This window comes from Homo sapiens, chromosome 1 (genome assembly GCF_000001405.40).
Source record: "Homo sapiens chromosome 1, GRCh38.p14 Primary Assembly".
Taxonomy (NCBI): Eukaryota; Metazoa; Chordata; class Mammalia; order Primates; family Hominidae; genus Homo; species Homo sapiens.
This window is the reverse complement of record NC_000001.11, coordinates 218582120-218603452: the sequence shown is the minus strand read 5'-3', so window position 1 is coordinate 218603452 and position 21333 is coordinate 218582120. Positions and strand designations below refer to the sequence as shown.

At 41.9% G+C, this 21333-nt stretch overlaps 3 annotated features.

The window, feature by feature from the left end:
- Positions 1561-2760: an enhancer, noted in NCBI's record as "MED14-independent group 3 enhancer chr1:218774035-218775234 (GRCh37/hg19 assembly coordinates)". NCBI's record gives its function as "activates an origin of replication core promoter dependent on BRD2, BRD4, P300/CBP and CDK7 cofactors, and independent of MED14, by STARR-seq in HCT116 cells {active_cell/tissue: HCT116}" and the evidence as "EXISTENCE:reporter gene assay evidence [ECO:0000049][PMID:35650434]".
- Positions 16954-17454: an enhancer, noted in NCBI's record as "NANOG-H3K27ac hESC enhancer chr1:218759341-218759841 (GRCh37/hg19 assembly coordinates)". NCBI's record gives its function as "activates a minimal SCP1, AML or CMV promoter by ChIP-STARR-seq in primed H9 embryonic stem cells {active_cell/tissue: H9 hESC(primed)}" and the evidence as "EXISTENCE:reporter gene assay evidence [ECO:0000049][PMID:30033119]".
- Positions 17455-17955: an enhancer, noted in NCBI's record as "NANOG-H3K27ac hESC enhancer chr1:218758840-218759340 (GRCh37/hg19 assembly coordinates)". NCBI's record gives its function as "activates a minimal SCP1, AML or CMV promoter by ChIP-STARR-seq in primed H9 embryonic stem cells {active_cell/tissue: H9 hESC(primed)}" and the evidence as "EXISTENCE:reporter gene assay evidence [ECO:0000049][PMID:30033119]".

Here is a 21333-nt window from a genome sequence, read left to right as displayed (position 1 = left end):
GAGGATTTGTTGCTGGTTTAGTTTTCTAGGGATTCCATAACAAACTACCACAAACCATGTGACTTAAATAATAGAAATGTATTGGTTTACAGTTCTGAAGACTAGATTTCTGAAATCTAGGACTCATCAGGGTTGGTTCTCTCCGAGGGCTGTGAGGAAGAATCTGTTTCATGTCTCTTTCCAAGTTCTGATGGGTTGCTGTCAACCTTTGACACCCCTTAGCTTATAGATGCATCACCCTGGTCTCTGCCTTTATCTTCACATGGCATTCTCTATGTGCATGCACACACACATGTGTATGTCCAAATTTCCTTATTTTATAAGGGAAATTATAAATTAATTCTATTGTATTAGGGCCTGCACTAATGACCTCATTTTAGCTTGATTACCTCTGTAAAGATACTATCTCCTAACACAGTCACATTCCGAAGTACTGGGGATTATGACTTCAACAAATGAATTTGCAGGGGACACAGTTCAACTCGTGGGAGGTGGTAAAGATGATGCTTTCTACATATTGATTCTGGAATATTATAAAATTGAAGGGCTCTAGGAAGTTCAAAATAGAGGTAAAATAAAGAGTTAGAAGGTGCTTCTTAGAAAGCTCTGATATAACTAGCTGAATTGCAAACTTCCTGAAGAAAATGTCAACCATTGCTAATTGCTTCTTTAGCTTCAGTTTACTGACTTATGTAATATTAGCTATAATAATTGAATTACCTTCACATTTCATAACTAATTAGTGACAGCAAGTGGCAGTCAATACCAGGAAACACCATCTGCATAGTTACTTACTGTATGTATGTGTGTGCCCGTACACGAGTGTGCAAGCTCGCAGGCATCCGAATAGGGAAGTCATCACATCTGTGAAGACATAAATTTGAGGTTAACAATTATTTTTAAACAAGGCTTAAACCTTGTTTAAAAATAATTGTTAACTTTCATAAGAAAATTATTACTTTGGACTATCACCTTTCCAAATGGGTCACCAAGTATTTATTTTTTTCACTGACATCTTTTCACTTTTTTTTTTTTTTTTTTTTGCATGTTCTTAAGAATGCTTTTTTGCAAATATAATCTGCACCCAGAATTAGATTTGGGTAAACTTAGGATGGGTTCCATTGTATTTTCACATCTTTTATTTTATACTGCTCCTGTGAGCTAGGATCATAGGATATTTTAGTCTTTATCTAAATGGTGAAGAAGCTCCGAGGAAAGTAAATAACATATCTAACATCACAGAATTTGTTGGGGGAGATGCCAAGACTAGAAGCCAAATCTCTTGACACTTAAAACAAAGAGAATATAGCAGGAAGCTTTCTTTGAGGTGCAGCTGTACACAAACACAAATGGTCTGTCACTTTGTTAAATTACACAATTCTTTCTAACACTGCAATTTTTGGATTATCCATTTGATTTCACCTTTACTTCTTCCTTACTCTGATCTGGGGAATTAGGAGTTAGGAGCAAACGAAACAGATGTCTTGTTGAAGATTTTGATGACAGGAATTTCTCCTACACCAGAATGAATTAGTTTCATAATAACAATACAGCTCAGTAATGAGATTTAGTGGATTTTGCTTTCTTATGCAGTAAAAAGCCTTCCCTATATGAAGCTAATCTCCAGGATATGATAACCCATCATAGGTCAGGTTATAAATATCTGAATCCAAAGTCAGTGCTTTTCACCACCCAAGAAGAAGAAACTCTGAGTTGGGCTGCCTAGAAATCTGATGGCACTTGTAAAATGGAATTTATGTACAATAAGGGATCTATCCCTTTATCAGCCATTAGTGACAGGAGGTAATTTTGTTCACAGACAATTAGTTTCAATTTGCATTGAGAGTTCTCCACAAAGTTTAAAATTACATATTCTGTGCCCAACCCTAACCTCTCTCCCATTTTTTCACTTGTCTGCTGAACATTAAACTATCTACCATTTTTTCAAATGTTACATTAAAAACCAAACACACTATCTTCCATCTTCTACCTAAAACCTACTTCCACTCCTAACTGCATTTCTGACAGAGCCTCCACAATTTTCTTGGCCCCTCCTGACTCAAAAATTGTAATCATTTTTTACTTTAACTTCTTTATTGACCTCTGCCTTCTAACAGTCCCCAAGTACTGGCAATTCTTTCTTAGTGGTGGCCCTTCCTTTCCACCATCCTGGACAGGGCCTCAGTCAGGCCTGATTCCTGAAGGAGCATAACAACCTCCTACCTGCTTGCCTGTGGGCTGGGCAAGTTCAGACTTGTCCAAGACTTACTTAAAATCACACCTCCTCCAACCTCTCCCAACTCTTCTCCCTGGAGGATAGGGCGTATTCAGTTCTCCATTACTCATTTAACCCAAAATCTGCTTTCTTTTCCATGATCTGATGAAGTGTTTTAGTCGGGCACATGTTTTGTCAGCCTCCTCAGGTTCCGTAAGAGGTGACCACTCTAACCATGGGCTTCTCAGATGGCTATAATGCAAGAGTCCATCTTATTTAACCTTACAGAATAACTGCCCACTAGCAGTTTTCCAGCAACACCACCTCCAACTCACGGCTTTTCCATAGACCTAGCAAAATCTCAACCCCTAGGTATGATATATTGATGTCGCCTTTGTTATTAGAGCTTATTATTAATTATAACAAAATATTCATCTGTAATGTAATGTGTTTAATTTCTAGTTATGAAATCAATGCCTGTTGCAAAAACTCAGAAAATACAGAAAGGCAAAGAAAAAAACATTTCAAACATTTTGCATTTTTTTCTTCTCTCCCACCACATCTTTACATCCCTTCCTGTATCTTAACTATTTTCCAATGTTAATAAACTACCTATATCATCTTCTGATATTTAAAATATATTGTAATTTAACCAATTGCCTGTTTTTGGAAATTTTATTTGTTTCTACAATTTTGCCCTTAGTAATAAGCCCATGATGAATATCCTCAAAAACAAAGTTGACACATAATTCTAAGAGTACCTATTTTACCACAGTTGTACTAGCACTGGAAGTCATGTCTGCTTTACAAATATCTTAACAGGTATTTGGCTAACAAACAAAGTGAATGCTTTCTTAATTATTTATTTATTTTGAGGCAGAGTCTTGCTCTGTCACTCAGGCTAGAGTGCAGTGGCATGATCTCAGCTCACTGCAACCTCTGCCTCCTGGATTCAAGTGATTCTCCCTGCCTCAGCCTCCCAAGTAGCTGGTATTACAGGCACCCACCTCCACACCCAGCTAATTTTTTTGTATTTTTAGTAGAGATGGGGTTTCAGCATGTTGGCTAGGCTGGCTGGTTTCAAACTCCTGACCCCAAGTGATCCGCCTACCTCAGCCTCCCAAGGTGCTGGGATTACAGGTGTGAGCCACCACACCCAGCCTCATATTTACTGTCAGGCCTCTGAGCCCAAGCCAAGCCATCGCATCCCCTGTGACTTGCACATATACGCCCAATGGCCTGAAGTAACTGAAGAATCACAAAAGAAGTGAAAAGGCCCTGCCCTGCCTTAACTGATGACATTCCACCATTGTGATTTGTTCCTGCCCCACCTTAACTGAGTGATTAACACTGTGAATTTCCTACTCCTGGCTCAGAAGCTCCCCTACTGAGCACCTTGTGACCCCTGCCCCTGCCCACCAGAGAACAACCCCCTTTGACTGTAATTTTCCATTACCTTCCCAAATCCTATAAAACGGCCCCACCCTTATCTCCCTTCGCGGACTCTCTTTTCGGACTCAGCCCACCTGCACCCAGGTGAAATAAACAGCTTTATTGCTCACACAAAGCCTGTTTGGTGGTCTCTTCACACGGACACGCATGAAATTTGGTGCCATGACTCGGATCGGGGGACCTCCCTTGGGAGATCAATCCTCCGTCCTCCTGCTCTTTGCTCCATGAGAAAGATCCACCTACGACCTCAGGTCCTCAGACCGACCAGCCCAAGAAACATCTCACCAATTTCAAATCCAGTAAGCGGCCTCTTTTTACTCTCTTCTCCAACCTTCCTCACTATCCCTCAACCTCTTTCTCCTTTCAATCTTGGCGCCACACTTCAATCTCTCCCTTCTCTTAATTTCAATTCCTTTCATTTTCCCATAGAGACAAAGGAGACACGTTTTATCTGTGGACCCAAAACTCCGGCGCCGGTCACGGACTGGGAAGGCAACCTTCCCTTAGTGTTTAATCATTGCAGGGACGCTTTTCTGATTATTCACCCACGTTTCAAAGGTGTCAGACCATGCAGGGACGCCTGCCTTGGTCCTTCACCCTTAGCAGCAAGTCCCACTTTTCTGGGGAAGGGGCAAGTACCTCAACCCCTTCTCTCCTTGTCTCTACCCCTTCTCTGCTTTTCTGGGGAAGAGGCAAGTACCCCAACCCCTTCTCTCCTTGTCTCTACCCCTTCTCTGCTTTTCTGGGGAAATGGCAAGTACCTCAACCCCTTCTCTCCTTGTCTCTACCCCTTCTCTGCTTTTCTGGGGAAGAGGCAAGTACCCCAACCCCTTCTCTCCTTGTCTCTACCCCTTCTCTGCTTTTCTGGGGAAGGAGCAAGTACCCCAACCCCTTCTCTCCTGGTCTCTACCCCTTCTCTGCTTTTCTGGGGAAGGGGCAAGTACCCCAACCCCTTCTCTCCTTGTCTCTACCCCTTCTCTGCTTTTCTGGGGAAGGGGCAAGTACCCCAACCCCTTCTCTCCTGGTCTCTACCCCTTCTCTGCTTTTCTGGGGAAGGGGCAAGTACCCCAACCCCTTCTCTCCTTGTCTCTACCCCTTCTCTGCTTTTCTAGGAGAGGGGCAAGTACCCCTCAACCCCTTCTCCTTCACCCTTAGTGGCAAGTCCAGCTTTCCTGGGGCAGGGGGAAGTACCCCTCAACCCCTTCTCCTTCACCCTTAGCGCCAAGTCCCGCTTTTCTGGGGGAGGGGCAAGTACCTCTCAACCCCTTCTCCTTCACCCTTAGCGACAAGTCCTGCTTTTCTAGGGGGCAAGAACCCCCAATCCCTTATTTCCACACCCTAACCTCTTATCTGTGCCCCAATCCCTTATTTCCATACCCCAACCTCTTATCTCTGTGCCCCAATCCCTTATTTCCGTGCCCCAACCCCCCTTCCCACTTTTCAGGAGGGTAAGAACCCCCGAACCCCTTCCCTCTATGTCTCTATGCTCTCTTTTCTCTGGGTTTGCCTCCTTCACTATGGGCAACCTTCCACCCTCCATTCCTCCTTCTTCTCCCTTAGCCTTTGTTCTCAAAAACTTAAAACCTCTTCAACTCACACCTGACCTAAAACCTAAATTCCTTTTCTTCTGCAATGCCACTTGACCCCAATACAAACTTGACAGTAGTTCCAAATAGCCAGAAAATGGCACTTTGAATTTTTCCATCCTGCAAGATCTAAATAATTCTTGTTGTGAAATAGGCAAATGGTCTGAGGTGCCTGACGTCCAGGCATTCTTTTACACATCAGTCCCTTCCTAGTCTCTGTGCCCAGTGCAACTCATCCCAAATCTTCCTTCTTTCCCTCCTGCCTGTCCCCTCAGTGCCAACCCCAAGCTTCGCTGAGTCTTTCTAATCTTCCTTTTCTACAGACCCATCTGACCTCTCCCTTCCTCCCCAGGCTGCTCCTCTCCAGACCAAGCTAGGTCCCAATTCTTCCTCAGCCTCTGCTCCTCCACCCTACAATCTTTTTATCACCTCCCCTCATCACACCTGGTCCAGCTTACAGTTTCGTTCCATGACTAGCCTTCCCCCACCTGCCCAGCAATTTACTCTTAAAAAGGTGGCTGGAGCCAAAGGCATAGTCAAGGTTAATGCTCCTTTTTCTTTATCCCAAATCAGAAGCGTTTAGGCTCTTTTTCATCAAATATAAAAATCCAGCCCAGTTCATGGCTCGTTTGGCAGCAACCCTGAGATGCTTTACAGCCCTAGACCCTAAAAAGTCAAAAGGCCGTCTTATTCTCAATATACATTTTATTACCCAATCTGCTCCCGACATTAAATAAAACTCCAAAAATTGGAATCTGGCCCTCAAACCCCACAACAGGACTTAATTAACCTCACCTTCAAGGTGTACAATAACAGAAAAAAGTTGCAATTCCTTGCCTCCACTGTGAGACAAACACCAGCCACATCTCCAGCACACAAGAACTTCCAAATGCCTGAACCCCAGCAGCCAGGCCTTCCTCCAGAACCTCCTCCCCCAGGAGCTTGCTACACGTGCCGGAAATCTGGCCACTGGGCCAAGGAATGCCTGCAGCCCGGGATTCCTCCTAAGCCGCATCCCATCTGTGTGGGACCCCACTGAAAATTGGACTGTTCAACTCACCTGGCAGCCACTCCCAGAGCCCTTGGAACTCTGGCCCAAGGCTCTCTGACTGACTCCTTCCCAGATCTTCTCAGCTTAGCAGCTGAAGACTGATACTGCCCAATTGCCTCAGAAGCCCCCTAGACCATCATGGACACCAAGCTTCAGGTAACTCTCACAGTGGAAGGTAAGCCCGTCCCCTTCTTAATCAATATGGAGGCTACCCACTCCACATTACCTTCTTTTCAAGGGCCTGTTTCCCTTGCCTCCATAACTGTTGTGGGTATTGACGGCCAGGCTTCTAAACCTCTTAAAACTCCCCAACTCTGGTGCCAACTTAGACAATACTCTTTTAAGCACTCCTTTTTAGTTATCCCCACCTGCCCAGTTCCGTTATTAGGCTGAGACACTTTAACTAAATTATCTGCTTCCCTGACTATTCCTGGACTACAGCTATATCTCATTGCCGCCCTTCTTCCCAATCCAAAGCCTCCTTTGCGTCCTCCTCTTGTATCCCCTCACCTTAACCCACAAGTATAAGATACCTCTACTCCCTCCTTGGTGACCGATCATGCACCCCTTACCATCTCATTAAAACCTAATCACCCTTACCCCACTCAACGCCAATATCCCATCCCGCAGCACTCTTTAAAAAGATTAAAGCCTGTTATCACTCGCCTGCTACAGCATGGCCTTTTAAAGCCTATAAACGCTCCTTACAATTCCCCCATTTTACCTGTCCTAAAACCAGACAAGCCTTACAGGATCTGCGCCTTATCAACCAAATTGTTTTGCCTATCCACCCCGTGGTGCCAAACCCATATACTCTCCTATCCTCAATACCTGCCTCTACAACCCATTATCGTGTTCTAGATCTCAAACATGCTTTCTTTACTATTCCTTTGCACCCTTCATCCCAGCCTGTCTTCGCTTTCACTTGGACTGACCCTGACACCCATCAAGCTCAGCAAATTACTTAGGCTGTACTGCCGCAAAGCTTCACAGACAGCCCCCATTACTTCAATCAAGCCCAAATTTCTTCCTCATCTGTTACCTATCTCGGCATAATTCTCATAAAAACACACGTGCTCTCCCTGCCAATCTTGTCCGACTGATCTCTCAAACCCCAGCACCTTCTACAACACAACAACTCCTTTCCTTCCTAGGCATGGTTAGTGCGGTCAGAATTCTTACACAAGAGCCAGGACCACACCCTGTAGCCTTTCTGTCCAAACAACTTGACCTTACTGTTTTAGCCTAGCCCTCATGTCTGCGTGCAGCGGCTGCCGCTGCTTTAATACTGTTAGAGGCCCTAAAAATCACAAACTATGCTCAAATCACTCTCTACATTTCTCATAACTTCCAAAATCTATTTTCTTCCTCATACCTGATGCATATACTTTCTGCTCCCCAGCTCCTTCAGCTGTACTCACTCTTTAAGTCCCACAATTACCATTGTTCCTGGCCCAGACTTCAATCCGGCCTCTCACATTATTCCTGATACCACACCTGACCCCCATGACTGTATCTCTCTGATCCACCTGATATTCACCCCATTTCCCCATATTTCCTTCTTTCCTGTTCCTCACCCTGATCACACTTGATTTATTGATGGCAGTTCCACCAGGCCTAATCGCCACACACCAGCAAAGACAGGCTATGCTATAGTACAAGCCACTAGCCTGCCTCTCAGAACCTCTCATTTCCTTTCCATCCTGGAAATCTATCCTCAAGGAAATAACTTCTCAGTGTTCCATCTGCTATTCTACTACTCCTCAGGGATTATTCAGGCCCCCTCCCTTCCCTACTCATCAAGCTCGAGGATTTGCCCCCACCCAGGACTGGCAAATTAGCTTTACTCAACATGCCCGAGTCAGGAAAGTAAAATACCTCTTAGTCTAAATAGACACTTTCAGTGAATAAGTAAAGGCCTTTCCTACAGGGTCTGAGAAGGCCACCGCAGTCATTTCTTCCCTTCTGTCAGTCATAATTCCTCAGTTTAGCCTTCCCACCTCTATACAGTCTGACAACAGACCAGCCTTTATTAGTCAAATCAGCCAAGCAGTTTTTCAGGCTCTTAGTATTCAGTGAAACCTTTATATCCCTTACGGTCCTCCGTCTTCAAGAAAAGTAGAACGGACTAAAGGTCTTTAAAAAACACAACTCACCAAGCTCAGCCACCAACTTAAAAAGGACTGGACAATACTTTTACCACTTTCACTTCTCAGAATTCAGGCCTGTCCTCAGAATGTTACAAGGTACAGCCCATTTGAGCTCCTGTATAGATGCTCCTTTTTATTAGGCCCCAGTCTCATTCGACACCAGACCAACTTAGACTGTGCCCCAAAAAAACTTGTCATCCCTACTATCTTTTGTCTAGTCATACTCCTATTCACCGTTCTCAACTACTCATACATGCCCTGCTCTTGTTTACACTGCCGGTTTATACTGTTTCTCCAAGCCATCACAGCTGATATCTCCTGGTGCTATCCCCAAACTGCCACTCTAAACTCTTGAAGTAAATAAATAATCTTTGCTGGCAGGACTATGCTGAATCTCCTTAGGCACTCTCTAATCAGATGTCCTAGGTCCTCCCAATTCTTAGACCTTTTATACCTGTTTTTCTCCTTCTCTTATTCCATTTAGTTTTTCAATTCATACAAAACCGTATCCAGGCCATCACCAATCATTCTATACGACAAATGTTTCTTCTAGCAACCCCACAATATCACCCCTTACCACAAGATCTTCCTTCAGCTTAATCTCTCCCACTCTACGTTCCCACGCCGCCCCTAATCCCGCTTGAAGCAGCCCTGAGAACCATCACCCATTCTCTCTCCATACCACCCCCAGAGAAGGGAGAGATTGAAGTGTGGCTCCAAGATTGAAAGGAGAAAGAGGTTGAGGGATAGTGAGGAAGGTTGGAGAAGAGAGTAAAAAGAGGCCGCTTACTGGATTTGAAATTGGTGAGATGTTTCTTGGGCTGGTCGGTCTGAGTACCTGAGGTCGTAGGTGGATCTTTCTCATGGAGCAAAGGGCAGGAGGACGGGGGATTGATCTCCCAAGGGAGGTCCCCCGATCCGAGTCATGGCACCAAATTTCATGCGCGTCCGTGTGAAGAGACCACCAAACAGGCTTTGTGTGAGCAATAAAGCTGTTTATTTCACCTGGGTGCAGGTGGGCTGAGTCCGAAAAGAGAGTCCGCGAAGGGAGATAAGGGTGGGGCTGTTTTATAGGATTTGGGAAGGTAATGAAAAATTACAGTCAAAGGGGGTTTGTTCTCTGGTGGGCAGGGGCAGGGGTCACAAGGTGCTCAGTGGGGGAGCTTCTGAGCCAGGAGAAGGAAATTCACAGTGTTAATCACTCAGTTAAGGTGGGGCAGGAACAAATCACAATGGTGGAATGTCATCAGTTAAGGCAGGGCAGGGCCTTTTCACTTCTTTTGTGATTCTTCAGTTACTTCAGGCCATCTGGGCATATACGTGCAAGTCACAGGGGATGCGATGGCTTGGCTTGGGCTCAGAGGTCTGACATTAACAAATTATAATTTTTTCTTAAATTATAATATTATATAAATTACTCTTTTAATAGTATTTCTGTAAGGGGCTTTTACAGATTAAATATGTCAATTCCTTGTAGTATGTTTTGCAACATTTTTTATACCTTGACATGTGCCTTTTAGTGCTTATTATATGTTCCGACATGGAATATTTAAACCTTAAGATATTCATGGGAGTTAGCAATCAACAGGTCATCTGTGACTTTCACAAAAACAACTTCAGTGGAGAGGTTTGTATGAGATTCAGGTTGCCAGAGTTGAAATGTGAATGAAAAGTGAAGAATTTTTTCAAATTTAATATTAAAGTCATATGGTTTGGATGTTTTGTCCCCTCTAAATCTCATGTTAAATGTGATCCCCAGTGTTGAAGGTGGAGCCTGGTGGGAGACAGATGTTGGATTGTGGGGGCAAATTCCTCATGAATGGTTTAGCTTCATCCCCTTGGTGATAAGTGAGTTCTCTCTCTATTAGTTTCTGAGAAAGCTGATTGTTTAAAAGGAAGCTGGTGCCCCATCCTCTCTCTCTTGCTCCCTCTTACCATGTGATATGCTGGCTCCCCCTTTGCCGTCCATCATGATTGTAAGCTTTGTAAGGTCCTCACCAGAAGCAGATGTTATCACCATGCTTCCTGTGCAGCCTACAGAACCATAAGCCAAAATAAACCTCTTTTCGGTATAAATTACTCAGTCTCAGGTATTTCTGTATAGCAATGTAAATAGATTAACACATAAGAGAGAAAATAAAAGGAAGAACAGAGAGAAAAAACAGGGTCCAATGAAATAACTTGGTGTTATGTGTTTGATAGTTTGCATTTTCAGATGTGGGAAGTAGATAAAAGGATTAACTGAGGGAACAAGATTCCAGAAGAATGAGACATATGTGAGATTGAAAATACAGGCAGAAAGAAATAGATTTAAAAAGGATGAGAGAGTTTCTTTCTCAGGAGTTACGGGTTCCTGAAGATAGAGATATGTAGGGATTGTGGGAAGACAAATGAAGAAAACAAATTACCATTTTCTTCTGCAGAGTATTTTTCTTTGTTTGCTAAGACCAGGACAAAAAGAAAAAAAATGGCCTCAGAAATGAAAAAAAGCAATACCTGATATTTGAGTAGTATAAGAAACACTTTTCCTTTGGAATCATGGAGTTTGTTTTTTGTAAACTTTTTCAGAAACATACAGGCTTTTGCCTCCGAGGTAAAGATTCAAAATTAATTTAAAGAGGCATTCTAAATATGCCTAAGGAGATAACCATAAAAAAGACAAAACTGATTTAAACAGGGATTTGGAAAAAAAGTTTAAAAAATTATTATTTTAAAAGAGAATAATGAGTATAAACAAAAGGCATGCCTGATATCTCATTAATATTCTCTACAGAAAAAGTGTTTAGGATCATGAAGTATAAAGTTTCAATTATTCAACAGGTGACAGCATTTCCTAAGAAATGACTAAGAGAAAAAAATTTCACCCTGAATACCAGATCTGAAACAAAATTAGTCCTTAAGGTAGTAGTGGCAGCACAATTGTATTCTGCTTAACAAATTACCACAAATGTAGCAGCTTTAAACAACACAAATTCATTATCTTAGGGTTCTGGAGGTGAGAAGTCCAAAATGGCTTCCCACTAGGCTAAAATCAAAGTGTTGGCAAGGTGATGTCCTTTCTGGGGGCTCTATAGAAAAACTCATATCCATGCCTTTTCCAGTGCCTGGTCGCCTCTTGAACCCCTTGGCTTGTGTTCCCCTTCCCTCATCAAAGCCAGCAGTGTAGCATCTTCAGAGCTCTCCCTCATGCACTCTCCTGACTGCCCCTTTAATTTATGAGGACCCTCACAATTACACAGAGCTCCCCTGGATAATCCAGTCTAGTCTTTCCATCACAGGAGCCTTACCTTAACCATATCTACAAAGTCCCTTTTCCATGCAAGTAACATACAGATTCCAGGGATTAGAACATGGACATCACTGGGGGGGCCGTGATTCTTCCTACCCCAGCAGCCTATGTGGTGTCAAACATAACTAAAAGGTTTGTTGAAGCCCCTCATTTGGTGATAAAAATACACAGCTAAGCAGGGCCTTCTTCTCCTATTTAAAAACAAACAAGAAAGCAAAAAACATTTGTATACTTGATGTATATAATGTATTTTTTTGAGACAGAGTCTGGCTCTATCACCCCGGCTAGAGTGCAGTGGCACGATCTTGGCTCACTGCACCTCCGCCTTCTGGGTTCAAGCAATTCTTGTGCCTCAGCCTCCCAAGTAGCTGGGATTTACAAGAGTGTGCCACCACGCCCAGCTAATTTTTGTATTTTTTAGTAGAGTCAGGGTTTCACCATGTTGATCAAGCTAGTCTCAAACTCCTAGCTTCACATAATCTGCCCTCCTTGGCCTCCCAAAATGCTGGGATTAAAGGTATAAGCCACCATACCCAGCCTGATATATAATTTAAATGCCAAACTGGTTTTCTTTAATCCATATGTACCTAATATGTTCAGATGGAAAGAAGCAAAAACAGACAGAGCCCTCTATAGCAAAATTGAGTTTGAAACCCCTGAATAAAGATTTTAAGTAGACTATGAATCCAAAGGTGTAACCAGCTCTGAACTTTCCAACAGCCAGACCAATCTTGTCTCATGATCAGCCCCTAATAAGCACAAGGTTTCAATGTATCTGTTTATAGCCCATTCCCTGGTCACTTTCACGTCTCAACTTACCTTTGGTGCTGACCATCTTGCTCTCCAATGTCTACAATCTTGAACTTGTGCTGATGTCTGACATGGTCTCTCCACCTCAGTTTCCTACCTGGTTATGAGTTTCCTGTGGGCACCAGGAGTTTATCAACCTCTGACCTACTCTGGGTATTGAGCTACGGAAGCTATTACCTGGTGTTTGTCCACCTGCCCAGCGTTCCTTCCAGGTTGACCCTGGCATCTATGGGAAGTCATCAGTCAGAAAGTCTTGTCAGTTCTGTCTGTGACTTTTAGTTGAAAACTGAATTCCACTCTGCTATGACAGTAGCCAGTTCAAGAAAATTTCAGATACAGGACAAACTCCAAGTAATCATTTTGACCAAAAAGTCCATGGGAATGCTTTTATCCCTGTTAGCTTTTGTTTAGCACACCTTCCCCTCACTCCATGAACCTTTATTGTTGACTATTGTATGTGTAGCACTGTTCCAAACACACCTGCCATGGAAGGTATAGAAGTGGTAGAGTGGTGCAAGTGATGATTCTTTAGGTAGTATAGGTATTACATATGAGGATTCTTGCTATGCAACTGTAGAAATTCTTCCTTGACTCCTGGAATGTTCCTCTCCTGAGTAGACATAGAATAATATTACAGGAGGGAGCCCAGAAGCTGAGGACAAACTAGACACGAAAGTCACCTAGAGTAGGACAGAGGAAGATGTAAAATCACATATAAAAAGTGTCAAAATCTAGGGAAAAGAGCCTAGAGTCAAAGTTCAAAAGGAAAATCTATCAATTTCTCACATTTTGTGGGTAAATCAAGACTGAAAATAGGATTCAGATCAACAACAATAATAACAACTAAAATTCAAGGTTTCTTTATCAGGTACTCAGCTAAATATCTTACATGCATTATTTCAAGTAATTTCCTTAAGAACATAATACAGAGGGATAATATTATCCCTGTTTTATAGGTAAGAAAACTGAAGCTTAGATAGATTTAAGTCACAGAGCTAGTAGGTGCCAAAGTCAGTTCTGTCGGCCTCCTGCATCTGAGCTCGTAACCTCCATATCATCCTCCTGGGAGGGCACAAGCACAAAACAGGGTGGGCAGCATCGAGCAGGAATGGGAGAACCCATTCCAGGAATTTCAACCATAAATAGGGACTAACTGGGTGCTGGTGGTTCAATTTAAAGAGATAAGAGCCTAGAGTCAAAGGTCAAAGTTCGATTCAAGTCAAAAGTCAAAAGCCAAGTTTCGATTTAAAGGCTTAAGGTAATGCTGGCTTACTTGACAATTCTCTACTAACATACAAATACCCCGAGGATTATCAATTATCAGTTAACAGTTTAGCAAGAAGGAGACAGCTAATTAGTAGAGTTCTGGTGAGATTAGTAATCAAGATATATGCCTATCTATTCTTAGAAAGTGTTCCTATTAAAGAAACTAGGATATTTCATGGAGTGTCCAGTTGCTAGGCTGAAAAACTCAGATTGGCAGCCATGTTATATTTGGTATAATTTGCCAGCTTCTCCTACGGGCCTAATTAGATACTTGTTAAACATGAAGAAAAGGAAGAGGAACCCCAGAGGAGAGAAAAGCTTGAGAAAATGAGAGTACTTATATTCAAAGAAGAGGATTATTATATTTGAATCGGGTTAAGGATGCAATCCTTAAGAACCTGAACATTGTTTTGAACCTTGAAGAAAGTGATGGATATGAATTTGTGGAAAAAGAGTGGGAGGATACGTCAGGTTGAAGAGCATATGAGTAAAGTTACAAGAGCAAAAATTAAAAATTGCAAGGAGCTTGTTGTAAGTTCAGCTTTGCCAAAATGAAGAAGTATCAGTCAAAAGCTCCAGGTCATGTCACTATTGTGAAATGATGAAGGCGGGTCTGCAGGTTTACGTTGACCCACACTAGGTTCCCGTTCTGGGAGCTGGTGCATTGACAAGTGATAGAGAAAGTGAGGCGGAAGAGTAGCTAATTCCAGGCTGGTGAGCATTGGCTGCTTTTGTTCACAGGAAGGGAAGTTTGCCTGTGTACCTCAGGAAGAGGAGATGGCTTGTTTGTTCATGAACTGCTCCATCGATCGTGGCTTGTGTCCTGATAGACATCAGGGTCTCGAGCGGCATTCTCTTAACACAAAGGACTGCTCCCTTATCTGAGCTCCATCCACACGACCACACGGTCTGTCCTGCCAGATGGAGTACATTTTTTACATAATGCACTTGGCAGTAAAATAAAATCTATTTTAAGCTGACCGTTCATTTTTCACAATGTGCGTTACAAAAGCACTGGTATAGCCCAATTTATTTATAAGTGGACTTAAAACATTTTAAAACACAAAGAAGCTATTCTGCTAAATGCTGACTCCTGGGAGTTGGGTTCCTGTATGGGAGTGTGAGATTTGGTCTCTTTATACCTATCTTTAAAAATGTATAAAACAGGCAGGATTCAGGTTGAAGTATAACAGACTTACAGGGTCCTAACCCATGGAATGGAAAGACCACACAACAGAAGGATTGGAACTTATTAGTGGGGATGGATGAGCCACTCTGTGGTTTAGGCTGAAACGCCTGGGATTGCTTTTCAAGTGTTTTAAATTTGATAATATATGTATACATATATAGGCACAGGCACACACATATATTAAAAAAGCAAATGTGTTTGCCAAAATTTTTCCCCTGTCTCTGTTCTCTAACCCATATGGATCTTAAATGTTTGTAATCCATATGTCTCTGATGTGTTCACAGAAAGCCCTCTGAGGACTGACTCATAAAAGATTGCCCTCTGAGAACGTTTCTACACAAACCTTTTCTCTAAAAGTTGCCACATTTTCCTCAAGCTCAGGCCCTAACCCTATGTCTCTCTTTCTCTGAGTAACAAGGAGAAAAAAATTGTGGACTTTGACGTCAAACCTTAATTCACTCCTAATTCTCTAATTTAAGGATGTGAGCCACATAACCTCTCTTTAGGTTTCTTTTTTCTCATTCAGTAAAGGCAGTAAGGAACTAAAGGCTCATTGGTGGCCCTTCTCGCTCTAGGTCTAGGATGCCTGTGCCCCATCACTTGCTCCTAACTCAAAGCTTCCTTTTCATGAAGGTGGGAAATTATGAAAGGAACAAAATAAGTAAACAGCCTTAGGTTTTAGTTAAGGGCAGTACTTATCTCCGGATAATGGGGGAGATTATGTCTGGTTACTGAGAGAAACAATAGGAAAAAGAGTTACCCAGGGATCCAGAAAGGACACATGACTTGACCCTCTAAGTCCTCTCTCTGAATCTCGAATTGTTTGAAATTTAAAGCACCAAAGAAGGAGTGTCAGAGGAAGAAAGACATAAACACGAATCCGGTGACGTTCTTTACCTGGCTGCACCAAGGAAGCCCCACACAGAGTAGGTGTACGCCAGAAATACAGAATTCAAATTCCCTCTGTTTTGCAGGTCTTGTAGTTAAGCGAGAGCAAGAACAATGCAGGGGTTAAGAGTCTGATATCAAATAGGTTTCACATCAAGTAGACTTGAATTCAAATCCATTTATTTATCTCCCAATTAGTTGGAAGAATTCCATATTTTAGCTAAGGATGCTTTGAAAATCATGAGTTAGAAAACTAAAACATGGAGGCCACTTTCGGTGTAGGAGATGAGTCTAATACATCCCCTAAGGCAGGGGTCCCAACACCCTGGCCACGTACTGGTACCAGTCCGTGTTATGTTAGGAAATGGGCCACACAGCAGAAGGTGAGTGGCAGACAAGCGAGCATTATTGCCTGAGCTCTACCTCCTGTCATATCAGCAGTGGCATTCAATTCTCATAGGAGTGCAAACCCTATTGTGAGCAGCACATGTAAGGGATCTAGATTGAGCAATTGTTTTGAGAATCTAACTGATGCCATTGATCTGAGGTGGAACGATTTCATCTGAAACCATTCCAACCCAGCAACCCCATCCATGAAAAAATTGTCTTCCATGAAACCGGTCCCTGGTGCCAAAAACGCTGGGGACCACTGCCATAGGGGGAGCAATAGATGCTGCCTGCACTTCCTAAAGCTACAGTGCTAAAGCTCAGTATGCATGCCTCCATATTTCCATGCCTGTCTAGGAATATCAGGTGGTAATGCATATTTAGGGCCAACTTGAAGTTACACAAAACAACACCAGAGAGAGGAGAAAATGCAAAAGAAGGAAAAGCAATGGTTAAGGTCTAATGTAATTAACGTGAAACACAAGTTGTTAGCACCAGTAGCCAATCCTCCTTTTCTACAATCTTCTCTAATCACTTCCCAGCCACCAGCTACATGGGCGTTTAAGCAAACAGAGGAGGGAAAAGAGAGAATATATAACCAATGTCTACAACAGATGCCTTGTCAGGAGGCTCTGTAAAGCCTAGAGCTGCAGCAATCGTTTCATTCAGGCTTTGTGGGTTTTATTGAGCATAAAATGGCAAGAAAATACATGCAAGGGCCTAGAGGAGTGTTTTCAATCTGTGCCTCATGGTGGCTTCTATCTGTTCCTCAATGAAGGGGAAGAGGCATGAAGCAGGGCGGTGGCCAGGAAGGAAGTTCCTGGGAGTCCTCCGTCCCCTTCCCTGTTTAAACCAAAGGAATGTTGCTTTTGTCAGCTTTAGATATTCTCCTAAAGTTGTATTTGAAGAAAGGATGCAGCTAATAATAATAATAATGTTTGAAGAAAATGCTCTGGGACTCATGTGGGCTGACAGACCTGAAGCAATGCTCCTGAGGGCTGATTCCTCTGGCAGGGGCACGAGAGGAAATGACCTTACGCTAATGCTGCCGCTGCAGGGCAGTGATGTCTGCAGAAAAGGCCACAGCAGGCCCCGAGCCACAGCAGGAGGTGGGTCTGCCTGCCATCAGCAGTTAAGAGGGCAGTGGCTGCCCCAGCACAATCCAGAGGCCAGCCAAGCCTGAGAGGCGGAGTTACAGACAACAACTGCAGTGGAAAGATTTCTGACTGTCTGCAAAGCCTTGAGGGTGACCCTCCCAGAGGGTAGGGACAAGAACTCAATTATTCACCACCCTCTGCTTCTATGACTTATTTCTGCATTCATTTCTGATATTTAATTGATTATAAACTAACCAGAAATCCCAAAGGGACCCTCAGTCTCTGCCGAGGTAGCCGTTTAGTTGGGGCTCAGTCAGAATCTGAGGATTTTGTGGCTGAAATGTATAGTGAATGACCTGGGTCTGGCCGGCTGTGTGACGCATAACAGCATACATTGGATGACTCATAGAAGTCAGGGATGGAAAAGACCTATTAGGTCATTTTTTCCATCTTCCAGCTATTGCAGGTTTACTCTCTGCCAAGGTAGGATTATATTCAAATATTTAGCCCAGTCTAGTTCGAACTGATTCAAGTAATAGGGCTCCCACAACCTCCCCTGGGATCTTAATTCCACAGGATCATTGATTTCAATCTTCGGAAAATGTTCCTGATGTTCACTTTAAATTTTCCTTTGCTCAATTTCATCCCATTAATCCTACTTATTACCCCTTAGGCCACCCTAAATAATATCCCTTCTTCTTTCATGTTGACGTTCCTCCAACACTGGTAGGGAGGAGACAGGGGAATACAAAAATGTCTTCTTGGCTTGGCTCACAGTCTTAAGTATAAAACAAAGAATAGAAATGTTCCAAATAATAGCTTAAAATGTTGGGGAGACTATGTGTATCAGATGAGAAAGGGTTTTCCAGATTGCCCAAGAATAGTTCAGACAATCAATGGCAGGTGTTTCTGGGTTTAACTTTACATTCTAAATATTCTGAGTCAGAGAGTAGCAAAGATGAAATGCCACATAATCCACCATATTGCCACCTAAGGTGGATAATGGACTATGTCCTCATAGCCTTTGGGGGAGATAATTCTATATAATCCTCTGATTATTTTTCCCCAGAGGGCAGGGATCACTTCAAATAGCACAAAACCACATTAGTAAAACTCACAGTGAGTAATGTCCCTTCTCGGGGCCCTGGGCAGACCAGACCTGAGAACTGGTGAAGTCAGCCAGTACCAGAGTGTGAGGCCCTGGGGTGGGAGCCAACGTAGGATATCCTGAATACTCCTCAGTGTTTCAAGGGTGCTAGGGTGCTTACTAAAAATACAAATTGTTAGGGTTCATCTCAGACCAACTATGACTCAGGATCTGTGGCCAAAGCCTAGAAACCTGCATTCGTAACAAGCTTACTAACATTTTAAAAGCCTACTTCATAAGGGGACTCTAATCCAATACCATTTGCAAAAACCTTGGACTAAACTGCATTAAGTAAACTAGAGTCCAAAGAGCAAGAATTTGGCTGACAATGGGATAGAGATAAGGAATAAAGGAGAAGTAGGCTTAAGACTGAGAACAGAGCAGGGAAGGTAAGAAGTTATTGTTAGAAATAAATGTGCAATGTCCATAGCCTGCACTCACTAACTGTCAGAAGCATGGTGTGTGGATGTGGGGTCCCCCTGAAAAGATAAAATATTTGCTGGACCTTCATCCACTTGAACACAATTGCTAGCTTTTGAACTTACTGTTTGCATGTTGTGCAAATTAATGTATGAGAGAAACTTGTTTTGAGGAGGAAGAGGAAAGAAAAAATACTATATTTCAAATTTTTAAAAACACACACACTCAAACACATTTTCAAGGAGTCTCAAGCATGATTTTGGCCTTCAGTTATGGTAAAATAGTTGCAGCCCAGCTAGTTCTTCTGGACATTTCAGCTCAGAAGAACTAGCAAGGCCAGATAAAATAGAAAACAGTTTTGTTTAACTTAAAGTCATTGGTGATCTGCAAAGGCAATAAAAATTTGGGGAGTTAAGATCCTGAAGTCAAAGGAATCTCAGACAGATGAGTTGATATTCTTCAAGGTATATCCCCTAAGGAGCACTGGCTGATTCTCAGTATAGAACAAAAGCCTAAGAATTCAAGCAAAGGGGTGCTGCTAAGACACAGAGAAGACAGCAGTCTTGAGCAATATTACAGGACCAGGGAGACAAATACTACAGTTTGAGCCTACCAAGGAAACCAGGCATTGAGAGGCCAAAACCTAATGAGAAGGGAGACACGGGGAATGACACTCTGTTTTTTTTTTTTTTTTTTTTCCCCTCAAGACATTTGCTGAATCCTTATGCTACTCTGGGCTAGAAGCTAAGTAGCTAAACTGAAAAAGATGATAAAAAACAGTGTTTTCTAGAATCATATAATGAAAATGAGGCAAAAATTATACTTTTGGGTTTACCGAGAAAGAGCAGTTGTGACTCCTAGAAAACCATACTCTAGGAGCAGGGACAAATCACAAATAAATAGAGCTTTACAAAAGTTACAACTGAGTCAGCTGCAAGTCAGCTTACTCTCTGATTGGAATAAGGTGATCTACCACATTTAATTTTCCCAGCACTTGATCAATACTTAACAGGCATATGGAAACAGTATAAAGAAAAAAGAAAAAAAAAAACAAAAAATAAAAATATACCCATGTGACCCAATTTTTGGAGTTATCAAACATAGATAAGACTGTGAATTTCATCTTAGAACTCAAATCTATCTATCTACATGTATATTATACATATATACATACATATGAATCAAATGCAAACTCTAGCATCAAAAAATGCAATAATTAAAACTAAGAATTCAATATATGATTTTAAAACCTGATTTGACTTAGCGGCAGAGAGGAGAACTAACTAGAAGTTAGATCAGTAGAAAAGAAAATATCCAGGTAGAAGCAGAAAACCAAAAAAGAGAGAAAATACGAAAAAAGGAGCATAAGAAACACATAAGGCACAGTAAAGAAATCTAAAAATTTGAATCCCAGAAATAGAGAGGACAAACAACACCTAAGAAAAACCACATTAAAGGGGTAATCTCCATATAATTTCCTAAACCAAGGAAACATATCAAGCCACAGAATCAGGAAGTACTATGAGAACCATGCAAGATAAACACAAATAAAATCATATCTACATACAATATAATAAGGCTGCTTATAGTGAATCAGAAAGAGTAAAACCTATTTTAAAAGGCAGTGGGGTCAGGGTGTGTTGAGTAAAACCAAGAAAGGAACAAAAAGACTGACAGATGACTACTCAACAGAAATACATAAATAATGGAAGTCAGTTGACAATAGAATTAAATTCTTTACCTTGTGAAATTATTCTTCAAAAGTAAAGGTAGGACAAATGCATTTTCAGAAACACAATAATGGAGTTAGTTACCAGCAGACCCATCCTCTAATAAAAATGAAAGGGACATCTTAATGTAGAAGAAAGTAATCCCTGATGGATACATAGAAATACAGGAAGAAATAAAGGATCAAAGGAAGGTTAAACCAGTGAGTACCTCTAAATCGGTATCAATACACAATGATGATGTATGGTGAACCTTGACATATACATAGAACCAAATGTATAAAAATTATAATGCAGAACATAAGGCAAAACCAATGACATTAAAGTGTTTCAAACACTTTTGCTTTCCTGGAACTGGTAAAACTATAAGTCAAGGATGTGCTGTAATCCCTGCAGCAACCGCTAAAACAATAGTAAAATAATATGTAGCTAGAAAGATAGTAGGAATTAATATTGAATATAAAAATATACTATTGATCAAAAAAAGAATGCAAGAAAAAAAGAGAAAAGATCACAGTAAACAGATAGGACAAACAGCAAACAGATAAATATGAATATTAATGTAAATTCAAGTATATCAGTAATCAAATCAAAGTATGGAGTAAGTATACCTGAAGACTGAAAATGTTGGACTGAATTACCAAAGAAATACAGTCCAG